A 16,667-nucleotide genomic window follows, 5' to 3' on the forward strand; every position below is an offset into this window, starting at 1 on the left:
GGCATCCCATAATGATGCTATCAGTGGTTAAGCAAGAACTTAGATTACTTAGGAAACGTAAATGGCCGTGATGGACTTTCTCCTCATAATGCTTGGTCACTAGAGTTTATTAAATGTCCTGGAAGTGAGTTTAGATTAACTTTGCTCAAGCTATTCACGGACTAATTCTTAAAAGGTGTGATTTTGACCATATCTTTATAGTAGAATAAGTTGCCTTTGTTGTTTCCCATTATCATTTTGACCTAACTCTGAAAATGACTTGCTTAAGGGTTGCCAGGTTAGTGGTGTGTTATCTAAAAGTATCTTTGGCAACACTGAAATGTACATCTCTGGATTCAATGTCATGAATAAAAACTGCTCTATTGTTACAGTTCTGCCATCTAAAAGGAAAGCAATATAATCATACAATCAAGTAGTGTGTACCTTCACTGTGAAAACTCACATTCATTGTTTGATTTATTGATCTACTTGATCTGATTTTGGAATTACTATACTTTATCTTTGAGCGATAACACATACTATTGCAAATTGTGAACTTCCTTTGGTGTGTATGTTGGATTGAGGCTGTTAGAATATCCACTTCCTTACGCATGTCAGAGTTGGATGGAAAGAATGTATTGTGAAATGAGACCATAAGTTTGTTGACCCCCCAAATTTAAAACCACTGTTTATATGATCAGATTTCATCCACTAATTTGCCTAGTTGTTAATATCACCTAGATAATAGTAAGTTGACCCTGTGATTTCTCTAAACTGTATTGTTTTGACTCCTACATTGTTTCTCACAACATCTCTTACTCACAACATCTCTTACTCTAGAAGGTTAGAGAAAGTTTGTGGTAGTCTTTTGAAAAGCTGCAGTAAACAAGAGCTTACCTAAAGGTTCTTATTGGTGTTTCTGATGAGTACAGTATATGTCTCTTTAAGAATATCTTCTGGCCGTGCACATTGGCTCATGCCTGTTAACCCAGTTCTTCGAGAAGCCAAGATGGGAAGCTCATTTGAGGCCAGAAGTTCCAGACCAGCCTAGGCAAAATTGTGAGACCTTGTCTCTACAAAAATAAACAATTAGCTGGGCATAGTGGCGTGTGCCTGTAGTCCCAGCTACTCAGGAGGCTGAGGTGGAAGGATTACTTGAGTGCAGGAGTTCAAAGTTACAGTGAGCTATGATTGTGCCCGTGTACTCCAGCCTTGGAGACAGAGCAAGACCCTGTCTCTAAGAAACCAACCAAACAAAAAATCTTCCAAAAGGCATTCTCGTCAGTGGTAAAATTTGTTTTGTTTTTTTCACCTTCAATTCCTTGTTCCGAATACTATACTGAAACCCAGAAACGTAGCTATGACCTCTTGTGTTTAAATAAATATTACTTCTGTAGCCAAGTGTTCTAATTGAAAACCAGAAACCAATAATTCTTCTTCCAAAAAGTATAACATCTTAATTAGTATAAAAGATCTTCATCTAGGTGTGGTGCACTGTAATTGTTTTTGTTAACCTGCTATCCCCATTGTAATTCTCTCACAGAAGTAAAACTACTTGTGGAGAATTGTCTGCTGAATTTCAGCCTCTGGAGTGCAGTGGCATGATCTCGGCTCACTGCAACCTCCACCTCCTAGGTTCAAGCGATTGTCCTGCCTCAGCCTACTGAGTAGCTGGGACTACAGGTGCACGCCACCACGCCTACATAAGTTTTGTATTTTTAGTAGAGATGGGGTTTTGCTATGTGGGCCAGGCTGGCCTCAAACTCCTGGACTCAAGTGATCCGCCTGCCTGAGCCTCCCGAAGTGCTGAGATTACAGGCGTGAGCCACCGCGTCCGGCCTCCATATAAATTTTAGATTCAGCTTTTAAAATTCCACAAAATGCCCTATGGGTATTTTGATGGGGATTTTATTGAATCTATAGATTGGTTTGAAGAGAATCCACATCTTTAATGTCTTTCACATTATGATAGAGTTTTGTGGCGATGGTTGTCTATTCATGGTAATCTCTTTCAGTGGAGCGTGAGGCTCTCCAGGGCATAGACTTTCTCGGAATCTAGCACAGGCCAGGCATGTAATGAGACACTCAATAAAAGCTTGTTTTGCTGAATTGAAATTATTTGACTCGAACCCTCCATCTTTTTTAGTTCTCTTAATATCTCTGGGGGATTCTTTCTAGACCAGTATGTAAGTACCAAGGAATCGTGGATGGCAGATTACTGTAAAGATGACAAGGACATAGAGTCAGCTAAATCAGAAGACTGGATGGGCTCTTCGGTGGATCCTCCATGTTTTGGACAAAGTAAGAGTTTTCACTACATGTGTTTAACTAAATCACTTTTGACCTACAAAGCAATGCTTCACTGAGAAATTCAAATGGAACCATCATTCTGCGTGGAAAAACCTACAGGAAATTCTGACTATCTTCTGTAGTTCTGTTTTAGTCTTTGCAGGAGACAGTTTTCTGGCATGAACTACTGAACTTATAAATGTGGGCTGTAATTCCACCTTTGCGGGGGAGAAAAGATCTGCAACACGTAATTCCTAAATCCTGGTAATAATGCATATGAACTGGTGCACCTGAGAATGCATCAGGATCAGCTGTGGTTTGTGTTTTACTCTGCAAAACATTGGTTTTCTAATTGATCGGATTTTTTTGGCCAGATTTTTAAAAGCATCTAAAATGGTCTTCTAAATCTAGAGATAGAGGGTTTGGACATATTCTTGAAAAGAGGGCGAGCAGGAGCCCATGTGGAAAAAGTTGTTAAAAAGGGAGCCCTGTGCTGTTCATAGAGTATAAAAGAATTGAATGCCCTGCCTCTTGAAGAAAGAGGAGTCAGCTTGCTCTCTATTGATGATGCTTTCTTTCCTTATTTAATGCCTCGCCAGCTCTGTTTTCCTCAGAGCTGGGGAGATGGTGATGGACAACTGCATGGTCTTAGTTGTTCCACAAGCCATTGTCATCCAAATTCAACTCAGCTCCAACTCTTACAATGTGGTTTCTTTGGGGAGTCTTGGCTGGACTTCACATAGCTCATGAATACTTAAATATTCCATCTGGTCTGCAAACGTGTCATGGGAAGATTGGGTGTTCTTAGTGTGTGAAGTAATTGTACTGGTTCATCTCTCCTCAGGGTGAATAAGTGGACTTTCTGTCTGCCTTGTACTTCTAGAAAGAGACACAAAGAAATGTCAGCTGTGCTTGTTCTCTGTTTTCCCAGGCTGTTGCTTCTGAGTCTCAAGGTCATTACTTAGGAGCCAGGGCTTTTCAGATATTGTCAGCTTTGATTTTAGCTCCTCCTCCAACCTTCCCAATTTGTGTGTCAAGAAAATGTAACATAGTCTACCCAGAAGACTCTAAATAATCTTTGTAATATGTCCAAGAGAGTGTGTTTCTAAAACATTATTCATGCAGGGGCATCTTCAATTCAGAGTCAAACTCTAGCAAGGCCTGGTCTGCAAGATTCTGATGAAAGATTTTCTTGTCCCTCTCTTTCTTCTTTCCTTCTTCCCTCCCTGCCTCCCTTTCTTCCTTCCTTTTTAAAATTTTTGTCCCTCTCTCTTTCTCTATAGTTAAAAGGCTTCCTCATCTATATTAAATGCTGGTGCTGAGTTAAAGCTTGATTTTTATTTATTTAAAGATTTTTATGATTACTTAGGCTTATAAAAGTGTAATCTATCTTTTTAATAAGACATAACTTGAATATGCATAAATTTCCAAACCTCTTTTCTTATTGGAAATTCCTGGATGGTAGTACAGTACATTCCAGGATTGTATTCTTTTAGCAGGCCTACTAAAATGATCATTGGGAATTTATTTTGAAAGTGAGTAGGGTTCAACCTTGTTGAACTAATCATAAACTTTCAGGTCTTATTCAAGAATAGTAAGTCATATTCCTACAAAAGTTATGCTTTTTATTCAGACTGGCCTTAAAACAAGCTCTTGGGAATAGCCCTTAACATGAAATTTAGCCTAAGGGACCTGCTGCTTTCTCACTGTTTCTTTATCAGGGGAAAGAAAATACCAGCCTCCTTTTGACAAAATTGTTGGCTTTGTTCAGTCAGGGCTGAGATTTTGCAGGTAAACCTGGGCGGTGTGGCACTTCATTGAATTTATTAGTTTTGTATTCCAAGGACATTTTATGAAAATATCAAATATTCTGAAAACTTCCATGCTTGATTTAGAATTTAAATAAACACTATGAGACAACTCCTTGGTAGAGATTGTTTAAATTTGGAACACATACTGACTCTTCCCCTGAATTTTTGAGATCCCCTGAGACTGGCATTTTACTTCTGTGTTTTACCAGTTGGAATGGAGCAACCTTCACTAAAATCTGTACTGATGGATTTTTGTAACTTTTTAATGCCATTTAAGAACATAACACCTTTAAATTAAAAATCTTCAAAAGGCTCGTCATTCTGTTCAAGAGAAGGTTCAATACATATTCTTCTAATTCAGGAAAAAAAAAAAAAAAGCATGTTACTTTGATCCAGCCTCCACAATAAAAACTAGCATAAAAATGTGTTCACTTTGTCAAGTACATTCGTAGTGCTTAGTAATCACTGATGGGAATGACTCTGTACTTGCATGATGCTTGCTATTTTTGTAATGTTCTCTATTTGTGCTTATCGTTTGGAAGCAAGTCTTCTTATTTCACTGTATTTATTCTTAGCCTCTAACTTTGTCTCTCCTGTCTACCAGGCCTCCCCCTTGTCTACCTTAGAACTAGGAGTACAGCCAGTCTGACTAACCTAGAGCACCAGATCTATGCTAGAGGTACAGTATAGCCAAGCGAGGGCTTGCTTTATTTTCCTGTTTTAAGAACTTCCTTGTACATCAATTTTTTTTTTAATGAGTGGGAGTTGAATTGGGGGTATTCCATGTCGTGAGTACTTTAGTAATAGGAAAGAACATTTCCAACTGATGAACAGAGTGGTGCATATTATCAGCTGATTCTTATATTGTTTCCCTTCCATCTCCCTTAACTTTGGTGGAAATGGAATAAACTCCACAGTGTATGATGCAGAAATATGTTAATACAATGTCAGTTAGAGGTGATTTCTCATATTGAAGAGCAAGTGGATTGAGGAGCACCATGCTTCATCAAGCAGTGGTGCCACAAGTCTTAAGTTTATAAAATACCCACTGAAAATTCTCATGGGAAGGCATGGGGCTCTGCAACAGGCACTATAATAATAGGGATAGCGGAAAAAAAATTCTCAGTAAATAATTGCTTAGACACAAACCTTAATTTCTTTGGATGTCAGTTTTTGTGTTTAGGAGATAAAAAAGAAAATTTTCTTTATTTCTATCTCTGATCTTTGAAAGTTTCTTGAGAAATTCACTGGTAAGTGAATGTGGTAGAAAACACCATAATCATTGAGGAATTGGAGTCCCAAGATGTTCAGTTTTTGTTTTAGGGAGTGCAGTTTAATCTGAATGATTTATGTGTGTACATGGCAAATTCCAGATTATTCGTCATGATTTTTTTAAATAGAAAGAGACCACAGGAACTCCCTCTACCAGGAATATAGAACAGGGATGTTAATACTCAGGGTACATTGCCCTGGGTTTTTTTTTTCTGGACAATTTTACCAGGGTGGATGTTTGAGGGAGGGCTCACAAAGAAAGCCCAGAGCTGAATCTTAATTTATTTGTGTATTCCTGCTTCTAAGCTTTCTATATGTTACTTAATCTTTCAGGCTTAGCCAAGCATTATTCCTATTTAGCTGATAAGGACAGTGAGGTTCAGAGACACTAGGTGATTTGCCTTTATTCACTTGACCTCCTAGTAGCAAACCTAGTATTTTAATCTGCTTCTTATGATTTACAAACCAGGTCCTTTCTGATGGACTGAGCTGCTTACATAGCATGACAACCTACACTGTTTATAATGGCAAAATTACTGTGTGAAACAAGTCCGAAGGGGTAGAAATTTCCTTAGCTGGAGCTGTTTGAAGCTGAACTTGGATACGGGTAGCTTTAGACTCTCTCTCAGCCCATGAAGAAATTGGGTTTGGTCACTAGGGGCAGATTTTCTGAGGCCATTAGGGAATAATGTTCTCTTTGATGGACTTGGGAACTTTTGTCTCTGGTGCTGTGCCAAAGGCAAGTACATAGTTTATTTGGACCCTGGTGCAGAAGATGTCAGATTTGTTGCCTGATGTTGGGCTTGGATTTGCGTGCATGCTGTGTATTTTTATCCTCAGAGAAATGGGTTATTGAAGCCTGTGCCATTATGTCTCATCAATGCAAGAAGCTTGGAGACCTAAGCATTGTGCCTACCCATGCTATTTAACTCCAAAGCAGTATACTTGTGAATATATTTGTATGGATTCGCAGCACTTTATTCTGTATAACAAACTGATCAAAGCCATCTGCCACCTGTTCTTTTTAAATCTAATTTGCAAATGGAAACTTACAGTCTGGCTCACAGTGGGATATGAAAGCACATCTGGCTTCTTTTTCTCCTGGGCCCTTTATCTACTGTAATAAAAGCAGCTCTCTCATTGCACTCATAGAAGAGGGAGGTGCCTTTCAAAGTGCCACAGTAAATACCGTTTACCCTGCAGACAGCTCTTAAATTTTTTACTCCCCCTCTGCTCTTGTCAGCAGCCTTACAGCTACTCCTTAATTTTCTACTTGATGAGCACTAATTTTTTTTTTTAAAGCAAACTTTGGGAGCTAAGTAAGGCCATTGGGGTGAGAAATGGGCATATTCCTAGTGGAGATTATCTTTAGATGTATTTGGGGTATCTCTAAATGACTGACCACAAAATTGTGGGAATACCCTGGAGACTGCTCATTTGTTTAGCAGATTACTATATCTTAGACTCCCCTGAACCATCGTTGTTATCAAAATAGAACTTGCCTTGACCCAAAATTGCTTGGTTTGCATTGTTTACAGTACTAACCTTTCAAAACTTTAAAAGAGGTAAGAGAAAAAAGGGAGTGATTGCTTTTTAAAAGGCAGTGACAATTACCGACTGTTATGATACAGTCCCAGCCTCAGTCTGGAGGTTGCAGAAGGCAGGACATGTTGCAGTTTGTCTTCTCGATTTTGTTGACAGAAGATGTCCTGTAGGATGAATTCAGTTTTGCCTTAGTGTTCTCTGCAGTTAGCATTTGCAGCTTCCTGTAGATGTCATTTTCTCCCAGCTGCAGAGCATGTGGGTCATGGTCTTTCTCACGCTGTCTTCCTACTTTAATGCTAGACACATAAGAAGATTGAGCCACACCTCCCTTTTTTTTGTTGGTTGTGTACGTGTGTTGTGAACATGTCAACCAGGAGGCTTTCTCACACTGGTTTGCTGCTGCTGCCTCCCTATTTGTGTGGCCAGTGGAGGAGACAGGTCCTTGGTTAGAGGAGCTGCTGCCCTTCCTTTCAGTACTCTGTGTTCCATGTGGAACCACATAGCATGGGCAGTGGTACCTGCAGAGGGATCTGTCTGCCAAAGCAGCTGGGGCACCAGAAAGCCTGCTTTGGGTTTCTTACAATGTTTATAGTCAGGTCACCGCTCTTTAGAATTTGGTTACTTACAGTTTTGTATTGATTGTTGTTTCTTTCCACATTCCCTGATTAGAAGCTTTTTGTGCAATGAAGCCATATTTTATGTTCCTTTTATGGCTTCCATGGTACCCACCTTATAATAGATGGTGGTGGTATCTATGTTTAAAAAATGGGCTAACAATTTTGTTTGAAAAGCTTTGAGATGGTCTACTTCTGCCTTTCCAGGGAGACAAAAACAACTATTAGTATAAAAGAATAGGAAAGAATGTTTTTATTTTATTTTGTTACAAAATGCATACTATGACTGTAGGGTAACTTATGTAAAGGGAGACTTCCTTAAGGTAAAGGCTTTTTGGACAAAGTTTAAATAAGTACATATGATATATCTTGCTACATTTTAGGTTACCCACTTAGAATATAGTTCTTGGCAGCACTGGGGAGGTCCATTTTTATTTCTTTCGTGATTCCCACCAAGTTAGGTCCTGATGCCTTCTTCTGAGAGATAAGGCCTGTAAGAGTTGTGGAAGAATTGGGGGCTGGGAATAGTCAGGCAGGGACCAAATTCTCCCATAGCAGCCAGCAAATACGTGGAGCTTCCATTTGTCCTGTTCCTTCTTTCTTGCTTCCACCTTCAGCCCCTTTGCACAAGAGACAAATTTGGGCACTGTCTCCAGGTTGGGGGAGGGTCTCTGCCATGCAGATAGGGGCGTCTGCTCATAGCCTTCTTCTGTTTGTCGTAGCAGAGGTGAAAACCCCCAAGCGCCGGCAGCCATTTGTCCCCTTTGCTCTGAGGAACCACACGGGGTGCACTTTGTGGTTTGCCACCCTGACCACCACACCCACCAGGTAAGCAGTCAGTTTATATTACCCCGAGTCATCTCTGCCACCAAAGCCTTCTTGTGCCAGCCCAGTAGAGCAAGGTGGGCCCCCTCTTGAGGCTCTTGGGATGATATTTGAATGAATAACTTGCTGTCTTGCTGAGATTTATGATGGAGGTTCTGGTTTTGTAGAGAATCTATAGTCAGAGAAGCAGGTCCTGAGTCTAATTATGATCTTGTTTTTGGTATACCTTATGTTTAAAAGCCAAGCAAATTAAGGATGTGAGCAGGAAGTATGAAAAAGCCATTCCATCTTTTCTCCTCGATCTCTACCTTCTTTCCCATTTTAAAGAGCTATGTGTGGTTATCACACCAAATGTTTTGCCATTTTATTCCAAGATTGCTTTGAAAACATCCCCATTCTCCCTCTATCCCTAAAGAATTCTTTCATACCTAAAACGCACTTCAACCCAGATGGAATTGGGTGGAGTTTGGAGAACAAAGGAGACTTTACCTAAGCCAGGCGAGAACCTTTTCTAACAACTTTCTGCCTGTTTAGATCTTGGCTCAGCCTTCCAAGTACATGGTGGTCGTTCCAGCTGAGGTCATGAAGTGCATGGCATGAGTAACAGAATCCATTGATTTGAAATCACATTTCTCCGACCTCCCCCAAGTATGAGACTGCTCTAGAAGAGAAGCTTTTTTGTTTTAACAGTGTAGGTCTGTTAAATTCCAACTAATCACTTAAATGCCACTTGAAAAAGTCATGCCTTAATTCACATGTACCAGATTCTACTGCCTGAGGTAAGTGGCTACAGAGTGACAGCTTTCAGCTGTTTCTAAAATGTCAAATAAGTTGTGATTCAGCACGAAGATAGCTATAGTTAGCGACCCTCAAGGTCATTCTTTGTAGCTAGGTCATGCAGCCTTTTATTGCTGGGAATTGAGTTGTGAGAAGGTTCTGCTCTTCTGCACGGGGCTCCTGTGAGAGGGAGCTGGGAAGAAACAGGGACAGGCTGATGTCATCTGATTTGGTTCCAGAGCTGCACTCTCTCACAGTGGGAGTCCAGGGGTAGTTCCAGAAGGGAACGGAACATTTCTCGATGATACTCACAATGTTAGTGAATGGCGAGAAGTCCTTACAGGTGAAGAGATTCCCTTTGAATTTGAAGCAAGAGGAAAGTTAAGACACAGGTAAAGTATGGTTTATTCTTTTCTTTAAAAAAAAGAAAGTGGATGTAAGTGAGGGTCCCTAGTGTTTTGTCTTTTTACTTTCCTTATAAATGATTTTATTTTATTTTATTTTATCTTATCTTATTTTATTTTATTTTTGAGACAGGGTCTTCTTGCTCTGTTGCCCAGGCTGGAGTGCAGTGGCACGATCTCAGCTCACTGCAGCCTCTGCCTCCTGGGATCAAGCAACTCTCCTGCTTCAGCCTCCTGAGTAGCTGGGATTACAGGGATGCTCCACCACACCTGGCTAATTTTTTATTTTTAGTAGAGATGGGGTTTCATCATGTTGGCCAGGCTGGTCTCAAAATCCTGACCTCAAGTGATCCGCTTCGGCTTCCCAAAGTGCTGGGATTACAGGTGTGAGCCACCACACCTGGCCCCTTATTAATGATTTTAATGTCTTCTTTTTAAAAGATATTTCGTAAATCAGTGTTTCCTTTTATTATTTTATTTTATTTTATTTTTGTAGAGATGAGGTCTCACTGTGTTGCCCAGGCTGGTCTCAAACTCCTGGGCTCAAGCAGTTCTCTCACCTCGGCCTCCCAAAGTGCTGGGATTACAGGCGTGAGCCACTGCACCCAGCCTCCTTTTAAAAAATAAAGACTTTGCTGCCATCTTGGAAATACATGTCTTTTCATTAACTATCCATTTATTTGACATATGAGGTGATAACCTGTGTGTTTCACAGAATTTGGTGGAAACATAGACATATCATAACCCTCAAGTTTATTGCATCTTGGCCTGATTTTCATGATGGATTGGTGATATGGTATTCTTAAAAGATTCTCAAAGCATGTTGATTTCAATTTTAATTTACATATATGCCACGTAGTACTTTTAACAAGCAGCTAGTTTCAGGACTCAAAGCTAATAAGAAGACAAATTCTGATTCTAAAAAGAACTGATCTGGGGAGACTGCTAGCTGATGCATTCCTGAAGTACCCATACTCAAAACTGGAATGAATGTGAGAAAATGTTCTATCTGATTACTGAGAGATCATAAAATATCCAATAAAGTGTTGTATTATTTACAAGTATTTTTCTATGCACAGGCTATCCAGTGGATATGAATAGGTTAAGACAGCATTTGAATAGGTTAAGATTTAGTATTTGAGCCTCATATTTGTTTTCAAGCTGAGCTGAAATTGAAGAGATTGGCTTTAGCTTTCTGTAATCATGTGCTTTTTGTGGTGCTTTCAGTTCCTGAGTGTAAACTTGCTCCCAAGTCAAGCAGGTTTCCTTTTGCATAGCTTTGGTACCCACACACATTATTCCCAAGAAGCAAGAGTTCTGAACGTGTGGGTCTCCAGGGATTTTATAGGGAAAAAAAAAATCACTATGCTGGGCACACATGTGCTTGGAAGCCACTTTAGCTTCCAGGTAAGAGCAGTGAGCATTTTCCTGTTGGTCCCCACAGTTCTTGGAGAAGCTAACTACAGAACTGTTGGGAACATTTCTGGATAAGCCCATCCTCTGTCATATCAGAAAGGGTTTGACCTCTTTGTCATTTCTGTTTTTGTTTCCGTATTTCATAATCCATTTCAGGTCCCACTATTCTGCTTGAATTCTTCAAAATAAATGCCTTTTCTGGCTTTTTCCCCTTTTGGCACACTGCACCCCACTCCTTGCCTCCCTCCCCGCTTCCTGTCAGCCTCAAATCTAGTTCCCCATTTCACTTCTGGCTTGAATTAGGCAAAATCTAAAATAGAATTAAATGTGCAGTTTCCTCCTGTTCCTCCTGTTCTGCCCACTGCCTTCTGCTCCAGTTTCAGTCGAGCACAGGAGCCCTGAAATGAGCGCTGTGCCTCTCCTGCCCTGTCTGTAGTCACGTAGGGCTGGAGCCAAACAACTGCATGTGGTTCTGAGCGAATTAGGATTTCAACAAAGGAACCAAGAATAATTTTTTATGCATTTCCAAGAGTATGGTTATATGATTAAATCGCTACTGCATTTTTACCACCCCAGTGACATCATTATATAGGTTGGGGTGAGGGTTGGTGGGGGAAAGACCTTGGCTCGTGTTTAGGTTTTGCGTGGTTTGTACAATGGAGGATAAATGCCACTCTTACTCAGTCAAGCTTTACAGATCTTGCAGTTTGTGTTGTAAGTGTAAAACCCAGTTAAACTGTGCTCCTGATTTCCCTTGCATTAGGTAATCTCCAAAAGGTTTAGCCAACTGGGTTTTTACATCATATGTACTAAATCAGATTTGTGTCTTTGCTTCTACTTTTCATCCCTTCTGGAGATTGTGCCTAATATCTTTTTCTTTGTTCTGCCTGACAGACACACCCATGACCTCCGGATTCATCAACTGCAAGTGAGAGTAAATGGCTGGGAGCAAGTGAGCCCAGTGTCTGTGGACAAAGTCGGGACCTTTTTTCGATATGCAGCACCAGATAAAAATTCATCTTCCTCTACGGTGTGTGACATTCAGGAAGTCAGATGGTTAAGCGACTGTCAGGAAGTCAGATGGTTAAGCCTGTAATAAGCTTACTCTAATGAAACTTTCTTGTTCTTTCTTTCCCCTAATTCTAGGACTGACTGGGTCAGTCATAGGCATTGGTAATCAATATGTAGATAAGCCAGCCAATGGTTAGTTTCAGTAGAAAAACAAGATTTAAAATCAGCAGTAACACATTTCCTCACCTCTGTAGATCCATTTCATGCTAGCTGGCCTGACTGGCAGTTTACTAGTCTGCTGAACCTGAGTCTTGTTTTTATTTCACATATTGTTATGCTGTCCATATACACTGTGTTTTTAATATTTCTTATAATGCAGCACCTTGATCCTTTTACTCTGTGTCTCCAAATCTTTCTCTGTGGCACAAAGAGAGATGTCCACTGTCGTTTATTTTCTGATCACACATGCTCTCACATACCCTTCCTGCCTGTAGTCCCAGTGGTTGGAGGGACAGCCCAGGAAATGATGCAGGTGGCATCCCTGACTTGTACATGCAGGTGGAGGCTGACATCCTGGCTGACAGAGCTGCCATGGGTCCTCTTGCCCCATCCTCCTTCATACTTCATGGAACACTTGCACTTATTTTTGGGTAGCCAGTAGTGAGGTGGAAATGCAGACGTGCAGAGATATTGCAGCTTTCTTCATGAAAAATATTCTTAGAAAACACTGTTGCACAACTGTCCATTTTTACTGTTGCTCTTGTGCCCCAAGTTTCTTACAAAAAAACAAAAACAAAAACAAAAACAAAACCTTTTCAGGATTACTTTTCAGCCTAAGTTTATGTCTAGTAATGACAGGACCAGTTCCCTCATAGGTACCTTTCTTACTGCATTGATGTGTTGGGGAGAAATTTGGCATACGTTGAATGGTTATAAAATGAATATTGTTTTTTCCATATCTTTAAGAGGAGATGTTTTATCTTCATAGTAGACTATACTTTACTTGAAAGTATTTACAAACACGACCCTTTGAAGAAAATTATGTTGTCATTGAATTTAACGTTGCTAATTATCTTAAGTCTGTGCTGACTCTAACTTTTGAAATCTTTTTCAGATTGGCAGCCCAAGCAGCAGAACAAATATTATACATCCCCAGGTTTATGTAAGTATGATTTTCCTGTTGTCATTGTGTTTATTGCGTATATACACTGCACCTGAATCATGTGGATATACATTTCTTAATGATCAGAGAAACTTTATGACATATATGCGATTGAAATTTATCTCTGCCCTTTTCTATTAATGATTACCTTCCTTTTCCAAAAACTTGCAAGAAAATGTTTTCACCTAGCTTGGTGTGTGAGACTAAGTATTACAGGGAAGGAGAAGGAAAAGGCAAATGTTTGGTCCAAGGTCTCCTTTTCATTCTAAGTTAAAATAGAAATGAACCCTGGTATGACCATATGTGTTTCATAGTTTTGGGTCCAAAGGTCATGAAAGTAAATAAGAAGGAAAAAGTAGCAGTTTATTTCCTCTTTGGCTTTTGAAACATCATCACGAAATGACATTAACAAACTTATTCCAGGCTTTTATTTATAATTTCTTCTCCCTGATGATTGTAGGTTTTGAAACAAAATTTCAGGTAGGCCTGAACAATATCAAGGTTTGAAACAACATCAGGATTTCTTTTTTTTTTTTGAGACGGAGTCTCGCTCTGTTGCCCAGGCTGGAATGCAGTGGTGCCGTCTCAGCTCACTGCAACATCCGCCCCCCGGGTTCAAGCAATTCTCTTGCCTCAGCCTCCCAAGTAGCTGGGACTACAGGCACCTGCCACCACCCCCGGCTAATTTGTTGTATTTTTAGTAGAGATGGGGTTTCACCGTGTTAGCCAGGATGGTCTCGATCTCCTGACCTCGTGATCTGCCTGCCTCGGCCTCCCAGAGTGCTGGGATTACAGGTGTGAGCCAACGCGCCCAGCCTAGGATTTTAAGTAATTGTTACTGGCTTTGACTATTGGGGCCTTTTTTGGGTTGGGTCACTGGAAGCTGGAGCTTCGATGATGATTTATGCCTAGGATTGTGTCCTTCTAAAAACACTCTAGAAAATTGTAGTTTGCCTTTTTGTTTGGACTTCCTAGAAGTCTTGGTTCAAAACATGGAGCTCTTCATTTTATTGTTTATTGGATTGACTTTCACTTGCTGTTTGTCTTAATGAGAAAGTTGGCAGAATGAAAAGCTTGAATGTCATGCCATTTGTTTCTCCAGTAAAAAGCATTGTTAATATGTTCTGGACACTCATTCTAAGAGTAGTACTTTCAGACTTTTTCTTTGGTGTACCTAACATGGGATTTTTCTACTTTTAAGAAAATTTCCTGTCACATGGTATTAGCACAAAATGTGTGTTGAATGTGTGAATGAACATATGGAAAAATAACGTAATGGCGGTAACCCAAGACCAAAATAAATAATTGCCCTTCATTATGTTGAGTTTCTGAACCTTGGTGTCCTTTTTATGAACAAGTGATTATTTTTAAAGTTCTTTAAAATACAGACATTGGTTTTTGTGTAGACATGTCAACAAATAATATATGGACCTAAATAATATATTTTATGACATTTAGAAAAAAAGAAGTTATTATTTGTTCCTATGAAAGGCACACCAATGCAGACAATTCTTTCTTTTACACTTTCTGGATTTTACAAAGACAAATGTTAATCTCAGAAGACTTCCTTCTGTTTTTCTGTATTTGGGCAGTACCCAAGCCATTGTTTGGATATTAATCTAGGAGGAAAATAACACAGAAGGTAAATCATTTAATGTTTTGCAAAGTCCTACCTCATTATTTCTAATTTTAATTGTGTTGGATGTTCTTTATTTAATTCCCTGCCAGTAGAGTAGAAGACAAGCCTTTTTCAGTTTCGTTGTAAGGAACTCAGGGGCTTTATGAATCAAGGATAATTTCCAGCAGATACTTTCTTACCAAATTACAGGAAGTTTGGAAAATTGGATAGGTTATTATCACAGTCTCAGGTGAATGTTTTTAATAATGTTTCTAGAGGCTTAGGACTGATTTTTCTTAGTGACACACTTTGTGATATCACATCTGAGTGGATTATCTGTTTTTGTAGAACTTTTTAGAATTTTTTTTTTTAACAGTGTATAGGATGTTTACTCCCTTTAAAGTTGAATGGCTTTAGGGTTTTATGACTGATTTCACTGAAGAACTATAGTAGTAATAAGACACTTTTAAGGTAGACATTCTGATCGATATTATTGTATTTTATATGTTTTTTCAGAAACATAACTATTTTGTCTTTATCGCTCTTTCACAGTTCTCTTCACTCCCACCAGTGCGGGTGGTCTTTGCAGTGACTATGGAAGGCAGTGCACGGAAAGTCATCACTGTCCGGTCAGCCCTCATTGTGAGGAACAGACTTGAGACACCAATGGAACTAAGACTGGATAGCCCATCAGCTCCAGACAGTATGTTTTGATTGTCTAGCATATAGTAAATGCTGATAAATACTTCTTGACTGTTGTCAAGTCTCTTTTTCCCCAGTGGTATCTTCCCCAGCAGTCAGTATATATGGTCTGTCTTCTTTTGTCCTGAGATGGTCAATCTTTGGGGTGGAGGACCATTGCCTGAAAGTGTTAACCCTTATTTCTGTGGCAGAGCCAGTGGTGCTTCCTGCTATCATGCCAGGGGATTCGTTTGCTGTGCCTTTACACCTCACTTCTTGGCGGCTACAGGCCCGGCCCAAAGGATTGGGTGTATTTTTCTGTAAGGCTCCCATTCATTGGACCAATGTAGTGAAGACTGCAGAAATTAGTAGCAGTAAACGAGAGTGCCACTCTATGGACACAGAAAAAAGCCGATTTTTCAGGTATGTAGCACCACTGCAGTGACATGTCACTTTTGCCTTTTTTTTTTCTTTTGGAATGACTATTACCATTCTTTCTCTAAAGACCCTTAGAGATTCAGTTATCTTTATTTAAACTCTAAAGTTCTTATTCCTTGAGTTTTAGTTAGAGTTCATGAGAACTCAAGTGCTAACGGTTGGTGGGGTCTGGGGAGGCTTTATTACATGGGAGAGACAGCCAACACACATGCTATTTACACATACAAGATTAGAAGTTTGTGTTGTACAACAGCATAAAGAGAGGACATATAGAGACGGGAAGGAAAACAAACAGAAAATAACGAGTTCTCATTCCAAAATTGGAAAGCAAAATCCTGGGGTTTGGAGTTTTTTGAATGAGAGATTTCAAAATAATTTGAAGGTTTATGTACCTCATACTGACTTTCTTGAGAACTTTGACAAAATTGCCTAACCATTTAAACTCCTGTTTTCCCATTATACGGGAGTATGTTACTAGATTCAGTGTTGGAAATAATACTGGATTGCTATGTTACACCCTAACAAATTTAGACTTTCAACTTATTTAATGAGGATTAGCTTTAGTTTCTTTTATAGTGAAGACAGGCATTCATTTAGTCTAAACTTAGAGAAAAGATACAAGAATAGTGTAAAGAATTTCATTATACTCTTTACCCAGATCTGCAAATTGTTAACAGACTAAAGGAAGAAATACATCAAATACATAGCTGGAGTTGGTGATTTTAACACTTCTATTTCAGTAATTTATAGAACAAAGAAATCAATAAATATGTAAAAGATTTGAACAATGTTATCAATGAGCTTGTTATAATAGACATTTATATA

At 39.4% G+C, this 16,667-nt stretch overlaps 1 protein-coding gene across 2 annotated transcripts in view, besides 1 other annotated feature; it reads left to right on the plus strand.

Moving 5' to 3' along the window:
• VPS13D (vacuolar protein sorting 13 homolog D) overlaps positions 1 to 16,667 on the plus strand; it is a 282,018-nt gene that overhangs the window by 103,518 nt on the left and 161,833 nt on the right. Inside the window, exons 39-46 of one of the 2 annotated variants that reach the window (NM_015378.4) lie at positions 2,158 to 2,280; positions 4,684 to 4,758; positions 8,233 to 8,338; positions 9,352 to 9,504; positions 11,827 to 11,962; positions 13,058 to 13,105; positions 15,276 to 15,426; positions 15,617 to 15,827. In NM_015378.4, coding sequence (NP_056193.2) covers positions 2,158 to 2,280; positions 4,684 to 4,758; positions 8,233 to 8,338; positions 9,352 to 9,504; positions 11,827 to 11,962; positions 13,058 to 13,105; positions 15,276 to 15,426; positions 15,617 to 15,827 — 1,003 coding nt within the window. The remainder of the gene's footprint in view (positions 1 to 2,157; positions 2,281 to 4,683; positions 4,759 to 8,232; positions 8,339 to 9,351; positions 9,505 to 11,826; positions 11,963 to 13,057; positions 13,106 to 15,275; positions 15,427 to 15,616; positions 15,828 to 16,667) is intronic. The other variant, NM_018156.4, reaches the window with a different exon arrangement.
• Positions 11,189 to 11,348: an enhancer, noted in NCBI's record as "active region_213". NCBI's record gives its function as "activates an Ori minimal core promoter by ATAC-STARR-seq in GM12878 lymphoblastoid cells {active_cell/tissue: GM12878}" and the evidence as "EXISTENCE:reporter gene assay evidence [ECO:0000049][PMID:35858748]".

This window comes from Homo sapiens, chromosome 1 (assembly GCF_000001405.40).
Source record: "Homo sapiens chromosome 1, GRCh38.p14 Primary Assembly".
In the NCBI taxonomy this organism is placed as follows: domain Eukaryota; kingdom Metazoa; phylum Chordata; class Mammalia; order Primates; family Hominidae; genus Homo; species Homo sapiens.